General features: G+C 44.0%; 1 protein-coding gene across 1 annotated transcript in view; it reads left to right on the plus strand.

Annotated features, from left to right (window-relative positions):
• The window catches only part of COL4A2 (collagen type IV alpha 2 chain), a 205,926-nt gene that overhangs the window by 107,440 nt on the left and 71,586 nt on the right, over positions 1 to 26,900 (plus strand). Inside the window, exons 5-16 of the mRNA NM_001846.4 lie at positions 10,011 to 10,145; positions 10,230 to 10,274; positions 13,744 to 13,860; positions 15,162 to 15,233; positions 15,678 to 15,713; positions 15,822 to 15,884; positions 17,602 to 17,637; positions 19,678 to 19,719; positions 21,546 to 21,644; positions 23,279 to 23,314; positions 23,895 to 23,945; positions 25,066 to 25,110. Coding sequence (NP_001837.2) covers positions 10,011 to 10,145; positions 10,230 to 10,274; positions 13,744 to 13,860; positions 15,162 to 15,233; positions 15,678 to 15,713; positions 15,822 to 15,884; positions 17,602 to 17,637; positions 19,678 to 19,719; positions 21,546 to 21,644; positions 23,279 to 23,314; positions 23,895 to 23,945; positions 25,066 to 25,110 — 777 coding nt within the window. The remainder of the gene's footprint in view (positions 1 to 10,010; positions 10,146 to 10,229; positions 10,275 to 13,743; positions 13,861 to 15,161; positions 15,234 to 15,677; positions 15,714 to 15,821; positions 15,885 to 17,601; positions 17,638 to 19,677; positions 19,720 to 21,545; positions 21,645 to 23,278; positions 23,315 to 23,894; positions 23,946 to 25,065; positions 25,111 to 26,900) is intronic.

Below are 26,900 nucleotides of genomic sequence, written 5' to 3' on the forward strand. Positions count from 1 at the left end.
TAATTTCAAATGGCTATCACTGTCTATAATCTGTAAGACTCTTGCTAGGGAATGAGGCTTGTGTTTGCGTATTAAGCAAGACAAAGGTTGTTTTTGTATCATAATGTATGAGAAGGAAATATTCTTTTATCCAAAATAAAATGAATCCATACTCTAGGTAAGAACTTTGGAGCCGTGTTTCTCTTTAGTTTCTGTATGGTAGAATTTTTTTTGTTAATTATCTTTTTCCCCTGTCTTTCTGTAGCAGCAGCACTCTGGGGGAATCTCAGATGCATTGTGCTAAGTGAAAGGAGCCAGGCTCAAGACTCCACACTGCGTGGTTCTATTTCTGTGAGTGTCTAGAAAAGGCAAACTACATGGAGGGAGAAACATGAGGGTTGGACCGAGGTTTGGAGAAGGGAGCATTTGATAACAAAGGGGCAACACCCAGAATGTTGGGTGATATGGAGCTTTGCTGTCTCTTGCTGATAGTGGTGGTTACACAACTCTGTTATTTGTTGTGTCTGTTAATGACACACCAAATAACACACCAAAAAAAGTGAATTTTATTGTATGTAAATTAAAAGATAAAATTTTTTTAAAGGAGTAAGAAAATGAAGTCAAAATAAAATTAACAGTTAACTAGGCAGTAGCCAAAGGAGGAGAAGGACAATGGTGGTTATCAAGCATTTTGTAACAACAGAAAAGGTGGAGTTCTATTTAAAGCATGTCCTATTCAGGAACATTTCAAATAAAGATAAGAGGGGAAAAAAGCTGTGCATCACAGCCAGTTCAAACCCCCTCCCCATGCCCACTGCCCCACTTTTGGCTCGTAACCTTTTTTCTTACTTGGCCAATGTGGTGTGTGTTTGTATTATCGTAGCGGAACCAACTCAATATAATGCTAACTTAAAGAATTTTTTTTTCTCTCATATATATAGACCGCTTTTCAGTCTAAATGCAAAATAGATATAACTCTTGGTCCTGTCCCTGGGCTGTGCCACAGATCCTGAGCAGTCACCCTGGAAGACAGGCGGCCTGCTTGCTCAACTCACCGGGAGCCCGCCTTTGGAAGGCCACCCACACGCCTTTCCTCTCTGCTTCCACCTGGGGCAGACTCTGCAGGGCTGTTAGCTGCTTACTACCTGCAGAGGCCCCATGGGGTAATGACAGTCACATGGCACAATGGGAACACACCATCTCAGCCATGAGTCATGCCATGCTCTTGGGTGTGAAGATGACCTAAGAATACCAGGAAAATATTGGCACGTGCCATTGGCACATGAAAATTAGTAACCTGCGCCTGTGAGTGAGGTCGTAAGTATAGACAATTAGCTCTTTTAATTGCCAATCATCGTGTGATCCTGGTAGCTCAGTAGTTGCCGCCTATGCTAATTGTCACTCTCTAACCGTGTAAGTGGAGGCCACCAGCACAGCATCCGTAACCTCTTCATGACATCCAGGCTGCATGAGGGTGATGCTCTGAGCATTGACACATTGCATGTCAGCAGTGCTAAATTAGAAAGAGCGTTTCATACCCATTCGCGGCCTGACAGCCAAAGCTCTCTGCATGCTGCCTGCAGCTCCAGAATCTGCTTCCTCCTGGCCCTTTCCTCAGGTGCAGTCTGGGCTCTCAGGGCCCTGAACTCATCCACAATCAGACTCCAAGTCTTCTTAGAGGACAAGCAGGCTTAGGAAATCACATCAGTCTATTACACAATGATTCACATTTAGACAAATGAAATGCATTTATTGCTAAAAGCACAGAGGTAATAAAAGGCTTTCCCAGAAAATCAACTTTTCCAACACATGCCAGGCAAAATCATATCCAGAATATAAAAAGTTTGGGCTAAAAGCCATTGAGCACAACCACCCATGTGCTGCCTATTTTTAGAATAAGGAGCAGGGGTTTTCAGACACTGATACTATGGGTGGGGAAGAGGAGATCATCCACTTTTTCTCTGCTTTAAAATGTACATCTACCCCAGTCAAATCATTTCAGATAAAACTATATAATAGCATCTTAGAATTATAGGTGGTACCTTCTGGGATTTGAAAATTTGTCTATAGAGATAAAGCATGACAGAAACCAGTGGCTTCCCAGACTTCGCCTTCACTCCTGAATCTAATTCGGTCCTGACCCACTTTCAGTTCTGCTGCCCTGTGGGCTGTGTCCCAGACAGTTTTCGAAATTTCTGTCAGTATCACCATCAGACAGACCAGATTCCATACAAGGAAAGCTAGGTCTTGGTTTCTTCAGATTATTTCCCTGGCAGACTTTTCTTTTTTTTTTTTTTGAGACAGAGTCTCACTCTGTTGCCAGGCTGGAGTGCAGTGGCACGATCTTGGCTCACTGCAAGCTCCGCCTCCTGGGTTCACGCCATTCTTCTGCCTCAACCTCCCGAGTAGCTGGGGCTACAGGAGCCCACCACCACGCCTGGCTCATTTTTGTATTTTTAGTAGAGGCAAGGTTTCACCATGTTGGCCAGTGATCCGCCTGCCTCAGCCTCCCAAAGTGCTGGGATTACAGGCATGAGCCATCCCGCCCAGCCCCTGGCAGACATTTTTAAAAAGCATTCGGCTAAGTGTTTTTTTCCAAATGTCACTTTAAAGGTGTAGACTCTCCTTCCTTTTCGAACTGTTCTCTATCACATAAGCTCATTTGCAGGAAAACCTGGAAGGGACATAATCTCGGTCGCCGGGCAACATGCCTGTGATGTCACAGCTTGTCTTCTTCATCTTTGCCTTTACTCAGCTCCTCTTTTGTTTGTTTGTTTTTAGGTCAAGGTTATTGAGGCATAATTGACATGCAAGTCATTGAATATTGACAAATGTATACAGCGATAGAACCACCAGAATCATGCTATGGAGAAGGTCCATTACCCCAGAAACTTTCCTTGTGCCCTCTCAGTTAGTCCCTCCCCTCCACCTCCAGTCCTGGCAGCCACTCATCTGTTTTCTGTCTTTAGTTTCGCCTTTTCTAGAATGTCATAAAAATAGCATCAGACAGTAAGTAGCATTTTGTGTCTGGCTTCCTTCACATAGCAGAATGCCTTTGAGATTCAGCCTCAACTGCTGCACACATCGGGCATTTTGTTCATTTTTATTGCCAAATAGCAATCCCAGGAGTGAGCTAATTTAATAAAACCAGGATGAACATTCTCATACAGGTCTCGGTGTGGATATAGGCCTTCGTTTCTCTTAGGTATATACCTAGGAGTGGGATTGTTGGGTCCTGTGAACTTTAGAAGAAATTGCCAAACTGTCTTCCAAAGAGGCTGCACCCTTTTGCGTTCCTGCCGGCAGCCCATGGAATTCGAGGTGCCATCCTTCCCAGCTCTTGGCGTGGCCACCTTTTTCTGTGTATGTTCACCATTTGAGTCCATCACAGTTATATCTCTCTGTGGATTTAATTTGCTTTTCCCTAATGACCACTGAAGTTTAGCATCTTTTCATGTGTACAACTTATTTGGTGCAGTGTCTGCTCAAATCTTTTGCCAAATTTTGCAGTTGGATTGTTCATATCTTTAGTATTGAGTTTTGAGAGTTCTTTATATGTTCCGGAAGAAGTTGTTTATCAGATATGTGTTTTGCAAATATGTCTCCCAGTCTGTCCCCTGCCTTTTTATTTTTAACTGTATCTTTTGACAATCAAACTTTTTAAATCTAGCTAACTTTTTCTTTTATAGGTTGTAATCTTTGTGTCTTATCTAAGAAAGCTTTGCCTAATCCAAAGTCACAAAGATTTTCCCCTGTGTTTTCTTCTAGAAGCGATACAGCTTTAGCTCTTACATTTAGGTCCATTTGGAGTAAATGTCTGTATATCAAGTGACATAAAGGTGAAGGTGTGTTTCTTTACATGTGGATGTTACTTACTTTGTATTGACATTAGTGCTACAGTCTGCATCACATAATTTTGGAGGGCAGAAATTCCAAGGGTCCATATAGTTCTACCTCATATAACTGAAATTCTTAATAAAGAATAGTACCCAGGGGTGGGACAAATGTTTTATATACTAAATAAGGAGACAGAGATAGAAAGTGTCCAACTTAACCTCAGCTCTGTGTTGCATGGAATAGGCTGCTGATAGTTATCTGTGTAATATACTGTACAAATACTAGCCTTTACATTATTGTTACCTTGGAACATGCTACTAATTTCATCTTGCCAGGGTAGTCTAAAAATTGCTCAGAAATGCTAACTGACCATCCTCAAAATCAACGAATATTTCTAAATTTTGGCCGGTGGAATTATTTTTCTAGAGCCTAAAAAGTAGTCCTTTCCACCTTTTGGGACATTTTACGTATTTGAAATGTGTGGCAAAGAGCTCACAGAAATTAACTAGGTCTTAGGTTGGAATCCCCGGAGGATCACCAGGAATTGCAGCCTTGGACAGGCCTTGAAGGTCTGGAACACACTGCGGAAGGGAGGGAGGGTCCGCCCTGGGGAATGGAGAGGATATGGGCGTCTGCTGGGCGCCAGTGCCCATAAAAGGTGAGACAGGAAGAGTCCGCTTAGGAAGGAGAAGGGATTTCCTACTATTCAGATTTCGGCTGGTAAGTCATGAAAAGCTCATTCTTATTCTACCAGTAAAATACTGTACTGTAGATTAAAAATCCTGATGTGTAGTGAAGCCAGTTTTATCCTGGGCAACACTGTTTTTATCCTTCTCTGATAAATGAAACTCTTTCTACTCCCTTACCCAGGGAATATTTTAAGGTTAATGAACAATGAATGGAAACCACAGGGTTGTGTGATGTGGGGCCCTGATGCGTCATCCATCTGTCCACCTTTGTTTAAGTCTGAAGCTGTAGGGCTACACTGCGTGTGCCCGTATCTGATCATCTTTTGCCTCTTTTCTCAGAAGTGAAATTCCCCAATTGATGAATGCGGGAGTGTCGGGACCCTGAGCGCATTCTCTCCACGGTCGTGGTATTTGAGTAATGTGGGTTCAAGTCTGGATTTGTTGCCTTTTCAGACTGCAGCTTCCAAAACCAGCCCGGATGGCCCATGTGCGCACCAGCCATGACTTCAGAGAGGGAAAACAATGGGCAGCCCCCGCGCCCCGTCCTCACGATAGTCAAAATGGAGTCTGTCTTGTAGATATCACTGAAGTATAAGGCCAAGACTGATTGAATTAGAGATAATATTTAACCCACATAAATACTCTTATGTTCCTCTGCATGACCCAGTAAGCCAGACCTTTCTACTGAGCCCCAACTCCATGCTTAAGAGGTTTTTCTTATTGAAAGTCACCTATCTCTTCCCTCAGGAATGCCAGGATGGGGGTTATGGTGGTCTCGTGCATTGGTTCTCAAACTGTTATGTACCAAGGAGTATCCTGGGGATCAGTTCAAATGCAGATTCAGGAGTTCTGGGGCCAGGCCTGAGACTCTGCATTTATAGCAAGCCCCCAGGTGACGCCGACACAGACCTCCCTTGGAGCAGTAAGGGCCTGGTGGAGTCAGCCAGCTCCCCAGATCTGAGTGCACCCCGGCCAGCCCTGACACTGGTCCCATCTGAGCCCCTGTCCTCTCTCCTCTCCACTGGAGTTCGTGTCACTACATGCAGTTGCCGTGGGGACAAAATGAGAGAAACCATATTTAAAACTTGTAACAACGCATCATCTCAAAAGATAGAAGCAGTTCAACGATACTGTTCATTATCCTGTTTCTTAGGAAATAGTACCTCTACATGGTCTGGTGGTGGGAGCAGGGCGGGGGGCAGGGGACATGACATTACCACTCCTGTCCACAGCGTCTCCTGGCTTCTGAGTACTTTGTGGAAATATTTTTCTCAAGGATGTTGGAGGAATATTAGGAGCTTTAGAAATTTAGGAGCTTTTGAGATTTATGCAAAGACATTTAAACTAGACTCTTTTCACTTTCTGGGAGTAATTTTTATTTTTAATGTCACTTATCACAAAAGGAAAGAAAGAGATGAAAATAACTTTTCCTGTCGGGACTTTTTGACTGAGGATGGAAGTTGATAAGGACGATGATTAGCACAGAGGAAAACCCTTGGCATGTACCTGGTCCTCCCAGCTGCTCTTTATAGATGCACCACACTTCCTTAGTGGGCAGGAAATCCTGGGGAGAAGCTCCATCCTGATGACCAAAGCGTGGCCTCCTCGGGCCATGCTGTAAATGTCCATTTAATCCCAGCAAGGCAGGCTTTACATTGTGCACAGCGGAGAGGGATCCATCTGGGAGGACTAAGGTCTAACTCACATTCTGCCCAGGCTCTTCCTGGCCCTCTCTCAGCGGGGAAGCTGGATGGAATTCTGTGAAATGTTCCATCTCATCAGAAGCTCAGGATGGACTGTTTAGAAGTGATGCCATCTTGACACTTACTAGAATGGCTATAGCCCAAAAAATGGAAAATCACAGGTATTGGTGAGGATACAGAGGAATTGGAACCTTTGTGCATTGCTGGTGGGAATGTAAAAGGGTGCAGTCAGTGTGGAAAAAGAAATTTAGCAATACCTCAAATATGTGATACTCGTGCACACATATTTACAGCAGCACTATTTAGCAATTCCACTCCTAGGAACACACCCAAAAGAATTCAGAACAGAGACTCAAGTAGTCACTCACACACACATATTCACAGCAGCGCTATCCACAGTAGCCAAAAGGTAGAGACACCCCAGATGTCCACGAACAAATGAATGAACCCATTGTGGTCTATCCGTACAGTGGAATATTATTCAGCCATCAGTGAATGAGGTAATGAACCCCAAAAACATGATCACTAAAAGAAGCCAGACACAAAAAGTCACACATCGTATGACTGATTCTATTTATTGGTAAATCCGTAGAGACAGAAAGCAGAGTGATGGTTGCCAGGGGCTGGGAGGAAAGGGAATGGGGAGTGATTGATTAATGGGTTTGGGGCTTCCTTTTGGGGTGAGGAAAATGTTTGGGAACTAGATAGAGGTGGTGGTCACACAACATGGTGAATGCACTGAAAGGCACCGAGTTGTATCCTTTAAAATGGTTAGCTTTATGCTATGTGAATTTCACTTCAGTAAAAAGAAAAGTTTACAGCATACTCCAGGAAAGGAAAGACTAGAGTTTTTCATTCCAAAGTCAGACTCCCTAACCAAGAAATAAAGATGAGAAAGGGGTTTACTGACAGTGAAAGGAAAATGAGTTCATGATGTGGTTAGCCACTTTCCCCCATCAAAGGGAATTGAGGAAGGGTTGACGAATGCAGATAAGAATGTGGTTTTCATCAATAAGACGTGCATATTTCCATTTTGGTTAGTAGCAGATGTTCCCTTTGAGTTGACTGTATGAAATAATCCCCCTGGTCACTGCTGCTTGTTTGGTTGGCTAAAAAATAATAATAATCCCACTGGATAGATATGTAGTTTATGGGCAATAAAGCGACAGTCCTGATAAGAAACATTTTATCCCCCAGAAGACAGCCGGCAGACACTAACAAACCGCAGGCCTCAACATAGTGAGGGGAGCGTAGAGCTTCGTGGCATGGTATGTAATCTTAAGAAGGTTATAGTCTAGCATAGCCACAAACTAAACAAAATTGAGCACCACTGGGAAGGATCCACAAAAGTCGGAATCAAAACATAGTTTGTTCCCAAACTTAACAACAAATGTCGTGTAGGAAACCACTAAGCATTGGAGATAGAATGAGTCTGGGATATCGTGCGTCCAGGGCCAGGGCCACCCATCTTCCATGAGTCTCCTCGCCTAGGTAGAAACACAGTGGCAATAGCTTCTATTGTAGAATGTTCTCCAAAGACACTAAAGTGCACAAGCTTCACCACGACTTAGGAGGCCTGAAATTAGGCTGCCCGAGGTGAGTACTGATGTGGCATTGACAGGACCCCTCTGGGACACGTGGAGGGCAGAGGAGAACCCACTGTCTCTAAAACTCTGACTTCGGTCCAGACCAGGTTACCCTGAGGGAGATTTCCCAGCTCCCCTTGGTTTGAGGGGACAGGGGTCCCAAGATTCGGGATACATCATCTTCCATCCACAGCCTTAATCTGCATGGATAGCTTCCACCCCAAAAAATCATCTTAACTACTTCCCGTGATGCCTGGGGCCTAACATCTCAAGGAATTGCCAGTTAGGAACAGTAATGAATTTGGAGGTGAGATCTTCCCACACCCCTCCATGCTACTGCCTCAATGACATTAACACTGTACCCTGGGCTGCGTTTTTAAATTCCCATTTCACTTCAACTGTGTGGATTGCTGAGAATGGCATTATGAACATTCTGTGAAGACAGACACGTCTCAGCTGAACAGTTTACCTAGGAAGTTACCTAGAGGCAACAGAAGAAAAGCCTAGAAAAATGGCTCAAGTTCCCCCCTCAATCTCAGGGCAAGACAGGAATTTGACATTTCACAGCAAATGGGGCTTGGCAAGTAAAGGTGCCGTGTGATGAATCAACAGCAGACTCATTCGTCTCAAGAGGAAATTAGGACATACGTTTTTTTAAGTTTGGGCTAGCCTGTGAAATGTTAAAATATAACTATAATACAATAGTTAGTTCCAGCCATAGGAGAGATAGAACTTCCCCTCCCCTCCTTTCTCATTTTTAAAACATTTTTATTGTGGTAAATTTATTTTTAATTTTTTTAATGTAACATTTTAAAATTTTTCTTGTATTAGAAATATGCATATGTCCTCGCTTATGAGTGGGAGCTGAACAATGTGAACACATGGACACAGGGAGGGAAACAACACACCCGGGGCCTGTGGGTGGGTCGGGGGGAGGGAGAGCATCAGGACAAATAGCAAATACGTGCTGGGCTTAACACCTAGGTGATGGGTTGATACTTTATTGTATTAAGTTCCAGGGTACTAATAAAATAAAATAAATGCATAACATCGAAATTACCTTTTGAGTCATATTGGCGTGTCTGATTCAGTGGCATTAAGTTCTTTCACGTTGTTGTGCAACCTTCACCACCAATCCATCTCCAGAACTTTCTCATCTTCCCAAACCGAAGCTCTGTCCCCATGAAAACACTGCCTCCCCCTGTCCCTCTCTGCCCGGCCCCTGGCAGCCCTCATTCTACTGTCTGTCTCCATGGATTTGAGCGTGCTAGGGACTGCATATAAGGGGCCTCTATACAGGAGTTGTCGTTTTGTGACTGGCTCATTTCACTCAGCACAGAGTCCTCAAGGTTCTTCCGTGTCACAGCCTAGGTGACTGCTTCCTTCCTCTTTAAAGGCTGAGTCCTATTCCATTGTGTGGGTGTCTACCCATTGTTGGACACTTGAGTGGTTTCCACCTTTTGGCTGTTGTGAATCACGCTGCTGTGCGTGTAAGTGTACCAAAGCTAGCCCCTGCTTTCTGTATGCCCAGAAGTGGAATCGTGGGATCCCGTAGTGATTCTCTTTTTTTAATGTGTTAAGGAGCCGCCAGAGTGTTTTCCAAAGCACCTGCACCATTTCACATGCCCACCAGCAGCGCACGGAGATTCTGATTTCTCCACATCCTCACCAATACTTATAACTTTTTTTAATAACAGCCATCCTATTTAGTGTGGACAAACATTTTTATATGTTTCAGAAGCTCTTTTTTTTCCCTCTATGTGAACAAAAGGAGAGATTAACCACTTAAACATCTGAGGGTCTTTTTGATATTTGAATGCAATACACATTTCCACAGTTACTGGATGCATTATATTGAGGAAAATAGAGATAAAATTGTAGAAATTCATTTGGAAAATTTTTTATACTGAAATGACCTTAAAAAGAACCCAAATAAGTTAATTCTTTCATCCCAACCCAGTATTATCATTTCACAATGACATGACTTTAGTAATTTAGGATAATTTTTTTCTCACATTCCATATTTTCTCTTCTTAAACTCTATGACTTCTTTTGTTAGCTATCATGGCAGTAGATGATAGTTTACATATAATGTTCCCTGTAGATTATAGCTCTTTAAAAACAAAAAAAAAAATGTAGTTTTGAAAGTAACCGTAACTGATCATGAGTATGTATTGTGATTAATCGTGGAAATTGAACCTTTGTTGTTCCCACAGGGTCAGCCTGGGCCAGTGGGCCCCCAGGGGTACAATGGGCCACCAGGATTACAAGGATTCCCGGGACTGCAGGGACGTAAAGGAGACAAGGGTGAAAGGGGAGCCCCCGGAGTAACGGGACCCAAGGGCGACGTGGTACGCACCGCTGGTGTATTCCCCTGGCCTCATGAGGGTGGCGGGTATCTCAGCCTTGGTTAATTGCATTTGCTTTCTTCATAGGGAGCAAGAGGCGTTTCTGGATTCCCTGGTGCCGATGGAATTCCTGTAAGTTTTATGGAAGACTGGAATTTTAAAACATTGCGTGCATCCTAGGCAATACATTTTGTGACTTAAAGAAACATTTTGAATGAGACCTCCTTTTTTGTTTATGACATAAAACACGTGGGGACTATACGTGCGTATTCTCCCCGCGGAATTCAGTCAGACAGTGAACAAATTGTTTGCTTTGTAAACGTCCTTATAGACTTGGCTTCAGAATTGAGACGATTTTGCTAAACTGCACATTGTTTGGTAATAAAAAGCTAGAGTGCTGTCCAGATACTCGCCCTAAAGAGCCAGTCTTGTGATCTCGTTCGAACTATAGAGCAACCTGCATATAAAGTCGTTCAGCCAAGAGCATGGGCAGAATGAAGCCCTGCTGAGCATTTGTGCAGCTTCTCAAGTTCTTTACAGCAACCTCACATAAAACGAAAAACAAAAGGCATGGTTTGTTCATGAGAAAAATCTCAAAATGCAATAAAATGTGTTTTTATAACCTAGTTTACTTTACTTCTCGTGGCATAAAAAAATAAACAAAACAGCCTGACTCACAGCCTTCTTCACAGGGACCCACGAGCAGATTTCCCAGGGTTGGCTTCCTGGCCAGACCTGACCTCAGGGATCAATGTGTTTATCGCACGTTCTGACCCACCTCCCATCCGGCTACTGCTGTGGTTCTGAGACATCTGCTTCACAAACCTCACACATATACACAGATGTGTGTGCCCGTGTCCTGCAGAGGCAGGTTCTGTATCACCACACACGCACACGCACAGGGAGAGAGACTCCATTCCCAGGCTGCACGAGTAGGGCCATGCCTTGCAGAAGAGAAGGAGGGAATGAGTGAGTGGAGGGCAGTGCCAGAGAACTCATGCGTTTCCATGAGATCTTTAGTCCCACCGTCGAGGAGACATCCGCAGAGCAGAAGGAGACAGTCAGGGCAAAATAAAGGAAGTCACATTTGCCAAGACAAGAGCTGCAAGCCAGTGATCTCGGGGCTACCTGAATGGTAGGCTCAAACAGGCACTTGGGTTTACCACATGGCCCTGAACAAATAAGGAAATAATGTTCACATCAGTCAGAATCTTGAGAAATGGACAGAAATGAAGAATCTGCACAACCCAAAGATTAAACAAATTAGGAAAGTATTTTCATACTAATGGCCTGAATCTAAATCACCCATTTTTAAACTACTCTTTTGAACTCTTTGGAGTGTCTTTCAGTTTTGTCTCCAGCTGAAATCTGAGTTAAAATGGAATGACATTATGGAAAGCAATTGCAACTCATCTGTACCAAGTTTCCTTCATGTTTCCACTTTACACTCACTTAATATCAGAGGCAGATGTCTCACAAACTAGGGAAGAAGTAATCATAATTTGGAGGAATGATTGTGGTGAGCAGGTGAAGACCATTTTCTACTGAACCTGCTGCTCAAAGGATCCAGTCTCTTAACCGCAGAACTCTGATACTACAAATTAAGTTAACATAAATATCACCTGCCATAAGTAATCAGTTAACAAATGTAGAGTTTGAAGGACCTGGATCATTTTAGCTGATTAGAAGTTATATATAAGAAGCGATATGCAGTAAAATCTTAGAGGAGTGGTCTCATATAGCAGTGAATCTAATTTGATGCTGAGCAGAGACAGACATTTAGCTCAATATAACTGAAATTTTTCTTTGAAGCACAATTTCAGACTCAGATTAGATTGACATGCAATTTCAAATAGATCAGTTCTAAGCAAGTAAGAAAGACCAACGGCAGACAAATAATAGAGAAAAATTTAAACATTACAGTTCATTTTAAGCAAAAGCATCACAGAATACTAAAAATCTGGAGCAGAACATGTGGAGAGCTGTTTTCTCAAGCTGAAGTGCAAGGGCCCCTTATGTCTTTATTTGAAAGGCCACTAGAGTGCCAGCTCTGCAAACAGATCGAGAAGCTGCCAACAAACAGGGATTCCTCTGGCTCACCAGAGAGTTTGACTGAGCCTGTTGGATCTCTCATCTGACGGCACCAGTTCAACCAATGGCTGTGGACATCTGAAGCAAAGAAATGTGCAAATAAAAGTTCTACTTTTTTATTTTATTTCTTAATATCATTCAGGTTACGGAGAACTATATGTAGGATTTGTTGTGTGGGGGTTTTGAGGTTTGTTTGTTTTGTGTTGTTTTGTTTTGAGACAGAGTCTTGTTCGCCCAGGCTGGAGTGCAGTGGTGCGATCTTAGCTCACTGCAACCTCTGCCACCTGTGCTCAAGCAATTCTCATGGCTTATCCTCCCGAGTAGCTGGGATTACAGGTGCCTGCCACCATGTCTGGCTAATTTTTGTATTTTTAGTAGAGACAGGGTTTCACCATGTTGGCCAGGCTGGTCTCGAACTCCTGGCCTCAAGTGATCCACCTGCCTCAGCCTCCCAAAGTGCTGGGATTACAGGTATGAGCCACTGCGCCCAGCCAAGTTTGTTTCTTTATCTTGAAATTTTCCAAATTTCTCAAAGTAACTGTAAAAGACATCCCAATGCTCTCAAAAATCACTCTGGAATATATGTTTGGTTTATTATCAAGAAAACTAAAGTTTAAAAGTAACTACACAATAACAAAGCATATAGCTAAATATCTATTGTTTAAAGAAACAGCAAAACAGGCTGTGGCCAGGTACTGCATAAATTATAGATTATTAACCCAGCCCCTGTGTGTCTCCTGGAACCAGCTTAATGCAGTGAAGATGCCCACAAATTTAGCCTGAGTCCCTCTAGTCATTGCAGACACTTGGCTGTGTTGCCTTTCCCCACCCCCAGACATTTCAGAAAACCTGACTTGCTTTATATTCATGTTTAAAATCTAAAAGGTCATGTTTCCTAAGAAAGCAAACAAGAGGCAATCAGCTCTTCTAAACATGACAAGGCCATTGATAAAATCACGTTGCGGGTGTGTCTTCTCTGTTTAGGATGTGGATCTGTGAAACTCACTATCTAAAATGCAGTTGGGTACAACTGATAAGGACCTCCCTGTTTTCCCTGAGAAGGAGGTAGCTGCTTCTAAAATCTTTCCTAGAATTTTTAAAATGTACCTTTACTTGTTTTCTACAGGGATAAGGACCTTCCTGTTATCCCTGAGAAGGAGGTAGCTGCTTCTAAAATCTTTCCTAGAATTTTTGAAATGTAATTTTACTTGTCCCTGCTGATAGACAGTCACTCAACTAGTAAGACAGAAGAAACCCCGACAGTGTACTTCTTACCCAAGCCCAGGTGAAGCAGAACTTTGCTTCGAAATCTTTTCCCTGCTTAGAACGATACCTTATGCCTTCACTTATTTAATCTTTCATTCATTCATTTGTTCACTTTTGAGGTGTCTTTTCCTTGGATTCATGCCGGGAACATGGCTTATGAGAATATAAGACTGTTTTATCTCACAGTTACATGACAACTAGAAGCCTGCTGGTTGGCTGATTCTCTCACTGCTCTCTTTCCCAGGGACACCCGGGGCAAGGTGGGCCCAGGGGAAGGCCGGGCTACGATGGCTGCAACGGAACCCAGGGAGACTCAGGTCCACAGGGGCCCCCCGGCTCTGAGGGGTTCACCGGGCCTCCCGTGAGTATCCCCACAGCGCCTGTGCTCCAGGGACGGGCAGACCCCTGCTAAGCCCTGCCTTTATAACCTGGGGGAGCCTCCCGCTCACTGTGGCCAGAACGGAAGCATAACTGTATGTTGACGCCCAAGACATGACGTTTCTGGATTCAAGTAACTTCATTTTTCGTATTCTTTAAATGTTAGATAGAAAATCATTGTTGTGGTTGATGTTGTTCACTCTCAGTCTCCCAAGTGTCACTTCATTTTCTCCCAAATTCTCATGCGTAATAGTGGAATCGTAAACGCAAATTAAAAAGCTGAAACCTTGACAAAATTCTGTCCATCACCATCTTTATCAGATTATGAAATACTTTGTGACGTGGGAGTGCAGTTATTCTCCAGCAGATACGATGCAGGAGTTTGTTTTTTAATGGAGGAACTTTTATATAATCATCTGTTTTGTGGCCTCATTTATTTTTTAAGGTCTTGGTAAAACATCCTGAAATGTGTCTTCAGTAGTACGTTGCTACCTTATTTCCAAGGAAATCTTGCAAATTCAGGTTTAGACTAAAATTTTGTTTGGTGAGACTTTTTATTTAAAAACAAAAACTTTAAAGTGGGGAGGGAAGAACAGTCATTAATCACCTTCATCACGTTTTCACCTGAAGCAAATGGAGTTCTCCTACTCAGTTCCACCTCCACCTGCTAGTTCACCTTTCCTCGGCTGTTTCTGTTTTATGTGGTTCAATTTTTCAATAAACTACGTCATCTTCTACTCTATATATCATCAATTTCATTATCAAGAAACATATCTATTACTTTAAGTGATTCTTATAGTAGATGTTGAAAGATATTTACACATGCACATATGTATTATGTATATGCCTACTGTTTATATTTGACACAATTCCAATTTTAAAGAATGACCCAGTATCTATTCTGCAAATGGGTGCTTGTGTTAATATGTTCAGTACACTAATGCCAAAGAAAGCACGTAATAGTATTATCAGAAATAAAAATAACATTGGCATACTAGAGGGTTGGTTGACAGAGCATTCATTTGGGTTTTGAAAATAATTTAAATCCTAAAGTATTTCTGTTTTAACTCTAGGAAAGATATGATTGGGTCAATAGGAAATTAAAGGTCTTACCCTTGTTGCTGAATATAGGGTTGGTGTTCAGAATAACCCCCATCAGCCATAAGAACAATTAGACCTTGCCCACAAAAGTCAATGTTCAGTCATCCACATTACCATAGCTGCACCGAATGTTAATGGACTCTTTTTGTTGTTTTTTCTTTTTACAATATATCTGCTAATTAGGGGCCCCAAGGACCAAAAGGGCAGAAAGGTGAGCCTTATGCACTGCCTAAAGAGGAGCGCGACAGATATCGGGTACGTTTGCAAGAGATGGGAGGGGTAATGAAGGGACCCAGTGTAAATTCTCAACTAACAAAGTTAATTGCCAAGTGAACTTTGCATGTAAGAATGAATGTACTGAAGGCATGCCTAGAATGGCGGCATAATCTAAAAGTCATCTTACTTCCGATCAGGATGTTTTCAATCTTATTTTTAATTGTGTGTTTATCTCTTTCCCATATTCACAATACTCCAAGCCAAATTAGTACTTGTAGTTAATATTAGTAAATATTAATATTACTAAAATATATTCTGACTAAATAACAATATTAGTAAAAATTAATATTAGTAAATTAACATTACTAGGTCCTGATAGGGCTGATCTGTTTGATATGCTTATTTCCAACTCTGCAATAAAAGGTAAGTAAATCTAAAGATGGTTAAAAGCTATCACTCTTAAAATTATTTCTTCTCCATTAGGGTGAACCTGGAGAGCCTGGATTGGTCGGTTTCCAGGTAAGTTTATTTTTATTGGACGATATTCCAAACAAAAGTTTAAGAGCTTCAGAACTCCAAGTACCAGTTTACCTCTCTTAAAAACATTCTCCCGCTGCCTATCCATAGGGACCTCCCGGCCGCCCTGGGCATGTGGGACAGATGGGTCCAGTTGGAGCTCCAGGGAGACCAGTAAGTACCTGGACACAGGTGCCCACTCTGGGACCATCGTCCGGTCATCCCTTCCAGATGCCACTTCTTCAATGGTTGACTCCAGATGAGAGCTTTAAGAACAACTATGATGCTTATAGGCGTAGCAGAGAACATCAAGACAAAACGGACCATTCCTTGCACACTTTGCTGCTGTTAAGGTTGAAGAATAAGGGCTTAAAATTATGGTCACCAGCTCTCTGCCAGTTATGTCAAATTTTGACTTGGTTCCGGCAGGGTGCCCTTCCATCCCCACCCCATACCTACCCAGTGACAGACAGCCCATCATCCCTGGGCAAGGCAAACCAAAGTCCCACAGGTTCATAAGGAGGAAATGGAGGTCTGCCTGTGCCACACCCATGCTAGCAGGCATATCACACCTGGGCTCATTACAGCAGGTGAGATACTGGCCACTGTTTAACACAATGGCCCTAGAGGGCTCATTGCAAGTAGGGAAGAGCAGAAAAAGGCACTTGCTGAGGCTTGTGTAGCTCTCTGGCCACTCCCACCACTGCACAATGAGCTGGAAGGTGGATTGGCCACTGCGAGAGCTCCTGACTCGCTCATTCCCCACATATGTTAGTAATCAGATAAATAGGCCTTAACTTACACAAGGAGCGATTTGGGCTGCAGGTGAGAGAGATCTTCTCACAGGAAGCCATTGCTCAAGACTGAGACAAGCTATCAAGGGACACTAACACCAGTTCCTTGACAGATACTGAGAAAAAAATGAAGTCATATATGTCTGGGGAGACTCAGTCAAACTAACAGTTGGGGGGTACTCATAATTCTCTTCAGATTATAATAAATGACAATAATAATAATAGATTTTGTTTCTACAAAGCAAATTTCCCCGGTGCTGTGAAAGTCATTCTTGCAAGTAGCCCCGTCTGTGAAAGACCTGGTCAAGGTGGCTGAAATCAGGGTCATACGAGGCGCTGTTGCTGTTTCACTCCATAGGGTTATTGGCTTAGTCACGGCACACATGCCACATGGTTGGATTTCATACTTTAAATGCACCACTCGGAGAAGTCCGGCACAACAGATTGTACTTGCTAGGTCCTCAGCTGCTCTGACAGCTTTTGGTTCTTCACATGAGCCATGCAATCATCCACAACCCCCTCCCTATCCACTCCTTTGTATCCACTTATTTGTACTTAAACACTCTTCCCCTGCATCTGAAATGCTTTAATCCTAAGCACAGTGTTGACACTGAATGCTCTGCAGAAAGACACACCATGATACTGCAGATGGACTTTCCGCTCTGCAGTGCCAGCTTGTAGATTCATTCTGTCCATGAAAGTTGGCCAAGCTACCAGGAAGAAGTCCTGCATGGAGTCTCGTGGGGACTCCCAGAGGAAGTCAGGGAAGCTGTCGCTGCAGTCACAGGGCCTGGGACCTTGCAAAGGGATCAGAACAAACACAGAGAGGACATGGGTGAAGTCAAAAGCCCAAACACACAAAAGCAAAGCAGAAACAGCTGTCCGTAGACAGCCGGCAGATTCTGAGAACTGGAGCTGACCCGAGTCCCTCTCCCCCAGCATGTCATCTCTGCCAAGCCAAATGCATCAGAAACCTCCATGCATCCTACACTGTGTCCTAAATATACAGTCAATGGCTTTCCCAGAGCTTTCCACCAGATGTTATCTGGGTCCTGGGGTAAAGAAAACCATTTACACATTTCTTTGTATTTGTACAGGGACCACCTGGACCCCCTGGACCAAAAGGACAGCAAGTAAGTTGGTTTTGGGGGGTGAGGATGAGGGAAGGGGGTACTTAGGTGTTTGTGGGTTTGTTTGTTTTTTACCATAAAACTTCTTGGTTGGCAACTATTTATTGTTTATATTATGATGAAAACAGTTTTGGAGGTTTTTAAGACTTAATGTTAAACTCCAAGGATAGATCCATGGTGCCTCTGGACATTAAAAAAGTAAACAGGTGGAATGATTTGTTGTTTGCAAATTAATTACCACATGCCTGTTGGTATATGAAAACCACACTGAGGAACATTTGATTGAAACGAAGATTAGAACAATTTAGGGACAGTTCACATTTATTCACATGCATTGATTTACGAGAATGGACAAAATGTAACTCTATCTGTTGTAGGGAGGCCAATGTCATTCTTCTTATCTGGCTAGAATTAGGTTCTACAGGAGTCTAATGTCAGCCTCTAGGGATATATTCAGTGATAATCAAGTTAGGCTAGAGCCCAAAGCTGTATACTGTTTTCATCCCAGAAAGGTTATTAAGTTGATTGGAACACAGCAAAGTAGGTGGTTTGTTAGAAACTCGGAGGACAGAACTAGGGTTCCTTATTATCTGAGAAAGCTGGATAAATGTCCAAGACAAACGAATGCAGTTGACAAGGGAAGTATTTGATCAAAATGCAACATAATTCAGAAATGCTGGGCTGCCAGCGGGAAGCATCTAGGAACGTTTCCTTTGCCCTGTGTCCCGATGGAGGACGTGCCAAGCCCACACGTTGCCATGCCTGCCCATTGCTGTGACCCCTGGTGACTACAGCTGCCACCGCCCATGCCCCCAGGCTCCTGTCCCCTCTGACACAGCTTCCGGTTGGCTGGAGGGCTTGCGCTGGACGCCCCACCGCCTGGCAGCCTGGAGCAGGATGAGATGGGCCCCAGGCCAAGAGCAGCAGAAATAGGACCAGGCGGCCGGGCTGAGGAGGCAGCAGCCAAGCCCTGAGCCCAGGCGTGAGCCTCAGATCTCCCCTTGCTGCGGCAAACATCAACAGCCCTCCTCACCCCTGACCAAGTCACTTCCTGGTGACTTTGACGACCAGCTCAGGAGGCAGAGAGGGACTGTGGGGGACTCACACAAATTGCATTCTAATCCAGCCTGGCCGCGTTTCTGTGCTTTGATTTCAGCTCCCCACCAGGTGGGGAAGAAGCAAAAGGCAAAAATTCATTGAAGGCTTTGTTTTTATTTTCAGAAAATATCTGGACATTGGAGGGGGCGGACGGTAGACTGCAGAGAAAGAGAGATCAGATAGGGCTTATGTGACCCCGCTGTCACTGTGGGAACACACAGAAACCCTGGGAAAGAAGCAAAGCTGTTGGGAGTAGAAGAGGACAGTGCCCGTGATGTGCACAAATTTGTCATCTTGCTTTTTCTATGCACGAATCTTAGAGGTCAGCGTTGTCAGTCCTCCCACACGTGGCTACTACGTTCGTGAAATTATTAAATCCTTACTATGATACTGGGCCTAGCTTTGCTTCTTAGGTAAAAAAGGAAGACAAAAAGTTTGGATAAAGCCCAGAGAATCACGTAAAATCATTACATTCTGATTGATTTTAAATTTCCAAAGATTATTAAAAAGATAGGTAAAGTTTATATGAAATGAGGATTATTTTGCCAAAATGAGAGAAGACTGAGCCAGAAGAAAAGACGAATCATGATCTTCAAATGCAGAGTCCAGGGAGTGAAATGGGGCTGCTTCTTCCATCTGCAGGGGCCAGAACCCAGGGACATGCTCTTAGACTACAGTCTGCAGAGACCATATACTCACGATCGAGGGCCAGCACCACCTGGGGTCCAATCTCAGCTCCCACTCATTCACTCTGAGGCCTTGGTCAACTGACATGACAAACTGTCAATTAGTTTCTACAATGCAAAGCAAGAATATTATGCAAATATAGTTGCTCAGTAAAGTTGCCGATAAATAGGCCTTGGGTTTCTTTTTCTAAGAAAAATAATTTTATTTCTCTCTGATTATTGGCTTTTTAAAACTTACAGAAATTATTTATCTTTTCAGGGCAACAGAGGACTTGGTTTCTACGGAGTTAAGGGTGAAAAGGTAAAGGAAGCCTGGTCAATTCCAGCAGAGGCATGCAGCATTTCTCAGCCAGGAAATAAATCATTTTAATTACTAAGTTCTGTGCTGTAAAACTTTTACCTTGAGTTGATCTGCAGACAGACCATTTGCATAGGGAAATAATCATTGCAAAGTGCTAGGTTGTCACCTACATACCAGTGATAATTCTGCATCAACAAGACGGTAAACATAGACCATCTAGGCTAGCCGAGACTCTGACACAGAGACATAAGCTCAGCTCATCTTCAGAAGGTGGAGGTGAGGACATGTCACTGAGTGCATCTTCTCCTGTGTGGAGCCCAGAGGTGATGGAGGGGACTGAGACTACAGCCAGAGGCTGACATGGAGCCATCTCAGGGACCAGGGGATCTCAGGGACCAGCCCTGGTAGGGCACAAAGGCAGCCGTAAGGACCATGTGGCTTTTCTCCTTCCTTAGAGTGCTAAGATCCAAAGACCTCATGGCCTTTGAGAGGAACGTGTGAGATCACGTGCATGACAGGCTTAACGCAGCGCCACACCCCGCAAGCAAAACCTCACCAACACAGTCCCATTGCGTTCACCACAAAAGCCATGAGCCCACTGTAAAGTAGACCTGACCCTTGGCCTCATGATTGGAACATTTCTATTTTGTTTTCCCTTCTGCTTTTTGATGGAACAGCACAGTAAGTTGAATCAAGTCCTGCTCATGTGTGAAGAAGAAACTCTTCCTTCTTTACATTAATGCCATAGAAGAAGTCAAAAAAGGACAATTAGCAAGCAGTGGGCTTCTGGGAAAAAAAAGAAAGAAAAACATTGAAGATCCAAACACATAAAAATTTATAGCCCCATACAATGAAATATAACAAAATAATAAAAACAAGAAAAATCTGGGAAGAAATCATTGGTGGGAGAAGAGAATAGTCCCGTTAGATATAATGGAGATGAAGTTAGAGTCTACAGTCTACAAAGGACTTATGCAAATAATGAATAAAAAACATCAGGGGCCCAACAGGTACAAGGGAGGAGAACAAACAGTTTGGGTATTTTAAGATATTCTATTAGTGGACACTCAGCGTACACTATGGAGTATCACTTTCTGCAGCTGACCCATCATCTCCATTTACTGCTGTCCGTGTTATGTGATATCTGGGCTCAGACTTGTATGATACAGTTTAATGTGGAAAGAAAGGAAAAGACAATGATGTTCTTTTGTGTCAATCAGTTTCTGGGAGGTAAACCCAGAATATTATGCAAGGATAACGGTCCAGTAATGTTCTAGATAGATCGGTTTCACCATCTGTGCACCACATCAAAAAGTGTTTTCTGCTAATGATAAAAATGCAAATTAAAGCAATCTTGGGATATTATAGTTACTTAAGATTTTTTTTATTATATAAAAACATCTTTAGCTGGGGAAGTAGTCTTTCATTTCTTCAGCATTTCGTTTATCTCGGTGCCCATCTTGGCAACCAGTAGAGTAATACCTGTCAAAAACCATAAAGACATTCAGCCCTCATACCTAATAATTCCCATATATAGAAATTCATTGTAAGGAAACAACCCCACAGAAACAAATGCAGTCCAGAATTGTAAACAACCTACATGGCTTTTATGCATAAATTCTAAATGATTGCTAATGAAAGGAGGATATAAAAAACTTACATTAGGATTACTCTATTTTGTGGTTATTATACTGTAAATAGGTATACATATGGTAAGTAATATGCAAACATTAAAACTGCAGTATTTTGGCCAGGTTGTATTTGTATTCGAGTTTTGTAGTTTCCTTTCGATTTAAAGACAACTGCTTTTGCTTAACAATATGCAGGGTGACGTAGGGCAGCCGGGACCCAACGGGATTCCATCAGACACCCTCCACCCCATCATCGCGCCCACAGGAGTCACCTTCCACCCAGATCAGTACAAGGTAAAGAGCAAAATTGACTCTTTTCATAGTTGAAATAAAAAAAGGAGAGTAAAAGTACATTTCTTCAATTGTATTCAACCACATTCCAAGTAGAAAAAGCCTCACCACCAACTTGGCACATTACCCATGAAAACATAACCGGGTCCTCCCAGAATGTTTTCAACTCTTCCAGACGGTTACTAGATTCACAGTGCGATCCCGTCGTCAGTCCATCATCTCAATTCTGATGAATCTGAAGCAACAAGAGAATTCATTTAAAAAAAAACTTATATCTATCCTTACATTCAGTGTAGGTGGAGGCTAATGGTCATACCGTAATTCAAAGCCAGAATCATGGAACTGTCTAGCAAAATGTGTTCAGCAAAATAAAACCTACTTCTTTGCTGACATGAAGCACCTTTTTGGAGGTTCAAAGTCAGTTTTTGACAGTTTCTGAATCATTCAATTAACATTTTGCTTAATTGAAATCATGCTCTTAGTCTGAAATAGGAATTGCCGCGTCCACTCTCTCTACGTTTGGAGGCTGCTGTGCCACCCACCCACTCGGAGGTCCCACAGCCTTTCTAGGGCTTCCTGTTCCCCCTGTCAAATGGGGATGGCGACACTGACCTCCTGGAGCTGACGAGGAGGTTGCAGGCGACTGTGAAACACTCAGTACCATGTCGGGCACGCAGAATATCTGGGAACTAAAATAGAAACCCCAAACGGGGAGATCTTAACTTTCCAAATAGAATCTGGTTCCCAACTCTTGAGCAGGGTGGGGCTTGGGTCCTGTGTCCTGGGTCCTGCATCCTGGGGCGGATTTGGCAGGCAGGACCACTGCCTTGTGGGGGAAATCAACCCAGGTGGCTGAGGCTCGAGTTATGAGTGACCGTTGACAAAAATGTCCTGGGAGACGGCAGGGAGGGCCTCTGTCCAGCTTCTGGACTGGAGCCCAGAGCAGGTTTGATCCACGTGGAGGTGCTCAATCTTCCGAGTCAAGTTTCCCACCTTTTCTACAACCCAGGCCAGGGTGGGATCCGGGGCTGGGAATGGCCAACCCGCAGGGGCAGTTGTGTCCTGCAGGAATCCAAGGTACCCTCAGAAATGACGGGGACAAAGGACCCGCCAATTGCTGTTTCTTTCACCATTTTAGACGAAGAGAAATGGGAAAAACGTAGATCATGTTTTTGATCTATGATATTGACATGGCTTTCAACAGCCACTTTTGCTTCAAGTTTCAATATGTTCCATGTGTATCTTTTTCTCAGAGGGCCTCCTAGTAATGTTTTCTTCCGAAGAGTATTTTCATTAAGGCTTTTCCTTGGGCACGTTCTCCCACCATACGGATGTAAACATCTGCCTGGAACGGTGTGGGGGATAAAGGAAAACAGAGAGAAGGAAAGACAGACTTTCACTTGTACCAAGAGGAATACAGGAATTAATTTATCTTGTGAAAATCTAGAAGAAATGACACCTCTTTTCTCTTGAATTTTGAAGCTGCAAAATTTAAGAGTCATGTGTTGTAATCAATTTATGATGATTGTGTGAGGATTGATTCAGTACTTTCAGCTCATGTCATGAACCCTGATTGATTTTTACCCATTACCATCCTCAAATTAATAAGCGTTTCTTATTTTTCATATTCTTCACAGGGTGAAAAAGGCAGTGAGGGGGAACCAGGAATAAGAGTAAGTCGAGTAATGAGCATGCCCCCTCCCCTGTGGCTCCTGGGCTGTCGGCGCTCTGCCAGGCATGACGGGGTGCACCATGCGCTCGGGGCCCGCACACCGCCAGTCTCTCATCCCCTTGTCCATAGCAGAACAGTATTAGCATGCATTTTTACACTGTATTTTAAGAAGTCAGTTCTAGAATTTCTTCCTCTTGGCATCATAAACACTGGCTAATCATCTTCTGAGGTTTGGGAAGGGAGCATGGAGATGGCGGAGGGGCGTGGCTTCCACTCAGGCGCCACCGGGTTCTGCCCTCCGTCCCCTCTGTCACTGCCTGTCCTCAGAGCTCCAGCTCTCCCTCGCGGTCGCTTACCACGTGACATGACACATGCAGTCCTGGATGGGTGACAGCCCGGGAAGGCTGGCGGGTCTCCTAGGACCGTGCCCTGCACTGCGCCTGAGTTGAGCATCGCCAGGCGGTCTGGACACCATCGGGGCTGAGAACACAGAGTCCTGGAGCAGAGGATGACACGTGGGCCCTGTTGGCTGGAGGGGCCGCCCCTGGGTTGCTCCTTACGCCCCCTCTGCTCTCTCCTAGGGCATTTCCTTGAAGGGAGAAGAAGGAATCATGGGCTTTCCTGGACTGAGGGTAAACCACGCCTTTTATAACTGCAGTTGTCGGTTTGGTTTGGTTTTTTTCAGTAGGCTTTCCTTTTTAGAGCTGTTTCAGATTCACAGCAAAATTTAGCAGAAAGTATAGAGATTTCCCGTTATTACTCCCCACCCCCCCCCACACACACACACAGCAGCCCCCCAGCACGAACATCTAGCACTGGGGGCTGCGCTGGCTACAATCCGTGAACCATCTTGACACACCGTCTTCACCCAGCAGCAGGTGTGCAGACGCGGCCCTCCCCGTGGAGGAGGCGCGAGTACCGCACAAAACCTTTCTGGTTGTGTGTGTTCAGCTCAGTTAGTCTGTAGTAACCAGAAATGTAGAATATCTCAAACACACATTGATTTCCGACTGTCCCAAGAGCCCAACAAAAATGTCCCTAGTCGTAAGGGTCGGGAAGGGGTCACCGTCCACGGTGATTCAGCCACCTGGGAGACAGACCTCACCTTCAGAGCCCCAGCCTGGACTGACCCCACTCACTCCACGACCACACCTAGCTGAGGGCTGGGACGGGTGGTCAGAGCCCTGGGCCCAGGAAGAGAAAGCAGAATTTTGGTGGCTATCTGGCAGTTGCTACCACTCAAAAGACCGTATTTTACATTCTCCAAAAATAAGAATAGAGAGACACAGTAGAACATTAGAGTACAAGCCTTTTTACATTTTTAGTTTTTCATTGTACTATCTTTGTGAGTTTCTCTGTATTTCTTTACGTGGTAGAAATGATGCACGTTATGAAAGTATTGCTAAAATGATGTGTCTCCCTCAGGAAATGAGAGTCTTGGGGTGGCTCTGACGTCTTCCACAGGGAAGCAGCTTTGAGATTAGGATGGATTCTGCTTTCTTCGAGCCTTTTTATCATAGTCATTATTTCCCATCCCCACCTCCCCACAACTTTGTAAAGGGGAAAGAATTGTATTAATAGTTGGTATTGAATTTGGCAATTTGTTGCTATTCTTCAAAATCTGGACCTGAGACTTGTTCAATCTGTCCATCGGCATTTTGCTGTGATCACAGCCAGGTGCCGTAGTCAAGCCCTCTGGAAATGTCTACTGCATATTCTGAGCTGTTTGCTTCTGTTTTTTGTTCATTCCAGGGTTACCCTGGCTTGAGTGGTGAAAAAGGATCACCAGGACAGAAGGTAAGTTGGATGCATGAACTGCAGTCTGCTCTGGGCCCACGACATCCCACAGAGGTTAAATAAATAGGCCTTGGCATCTCAGGAAAGAAAATTGTCTCCAGAAAAAAACATTGAAAATGGTTCTTGTATTTGCAGTCACAAAGATAATCCTGCCTCACAATACTTGAACCGGGTCATTACCTTGGCTCTCATTTTTGCAAACTATCTTTTGCTTCCTCCCTTTCAAAGTGTCCGTCACTCGACCCCACCAGCCATGGTTTCTATATCGTCCAACCTCACACCCCTCCTCCATGTCCTTGTCACTCATAGGAAGCTCCTGGACTTGGTGACCCAGGGTCCACCTAAATTTTTTTATAGATTGACCCATACTGTGACACTTCATTTATGTTTAATGACAACCCAATTATTTTTATCATGAGTTCTGTGGACAGATTTTTGGCTTTTTTTTAGGAGAAAAATGTTATGTAAGAAATGTATTATGGGCCAGGTGCAGTGGCTCATGCCTGTAATCCCAGGACTTTGGGAGGCCTGAGGAGGGTGGATCACCTGAGGTCAGGAGTATGAGGCCAGCCTGACCAACATGGTGAAACCCTGTCTCTACTAAAAATACAAAATTTGCCAGGCATGGTGTGGGTACCTGTAATCCCAGCTACTCAGGAGGCTGAGGCAGGAGAATCACTTGAACCTGGGAGGCAGAGGCTACAGTGAGCCGAGATCGCGCCATTGCACTCCAGCCTGGGCAACAAGAGTGAAACTCCATCATAAAATAATAATAATAATGATAAAATTTTTAAAAAGAAATGTATTATGAATCTAGGTCAGATTTAGAACCGTCTGAACTCTAGGTCATACACAATGTTATAGTTCAGTGGTTGATGCCTTTTCACTGTTCACTGTGCCTGCGGGTCCCACCCCACAGCACACAGCACACGCCTCCTACGGCAGGCCCGGCAGGCTCCCCAGACACCACCACTGACAGCCCCTTGGGTCTCACATCACACTCATGCCAACATACACACAAAGACGTGTAGCTTCACATGCATGTAACGGAGCAACAAAAGAAATGTGTCTGTGCTGCTCTGCCCAGTGCCCCTTAGAGAATGTTCCAAGTCGGCAGGTACACATCTGCCTCGTTCTTTAAAGCTGCAGAGAATGGCAGTCAATAGGTGCGCCATATTTCCTTACGCCCTCGAGGTGGTTTTCATATTTCCAGCAAACATGCAGTCACCTCGGTGGTACACAGGGCTTGGCTGCCTGCCCATGGGCTAGTATGTCCATCACTCAGTCCTAGTAGGTGCACAGAGATAGAGTTTTATCAAAATCACTAGCCTCAGAATCACAACTCCGTTGAATCCTGCTCAGGGCTGCACAGAGAGTAGTGTGGCGTCTGGAGGCCCATGGGCTTCAGTTAGCTGGTACAGAAGCTCGGCAGGCCTGGTGGGGGTTCCGCCATGCTTGTTCCAGGACCACAGATGGACCTGCCTCCCAGACTCGCTTTCTGACCTCCACTGGCTCTAGACACGGGCCGTCTTGACCCAGCATTCTGCTTTTGACCATTCAAACTTAACACCAATCTTGATGACTTCCTGCAACCTCCAATGATCATACTGTTCCCATTTCTGTTATTTTATGCTAAACTCAGCCCAGGGAGCCAATGCCAGGCTTTGCCGTAATCACACCCAGCCTTTCATAACATCAGTTACTGATCGGAGTACTCCCAAAGGCGGCACACCTAGAACAAGAGCTATCCAAATGCACCCCACCCAGAGGCCACATTCTAGTTCATGGCT

Source organism: Homo sapiens, chromosome 13 (assembly GCF_000001405.40).
Source record: "Homo sapiens chromosome 13, GRCh38.p14 Primary Assembly".
Classification (NCBI taxonomy): domain Eukaryota; kingdom Metazoa; phylum Chordata; class Mammalia; order Primates; family Hominidae; genus Homo; species Homo sapiens.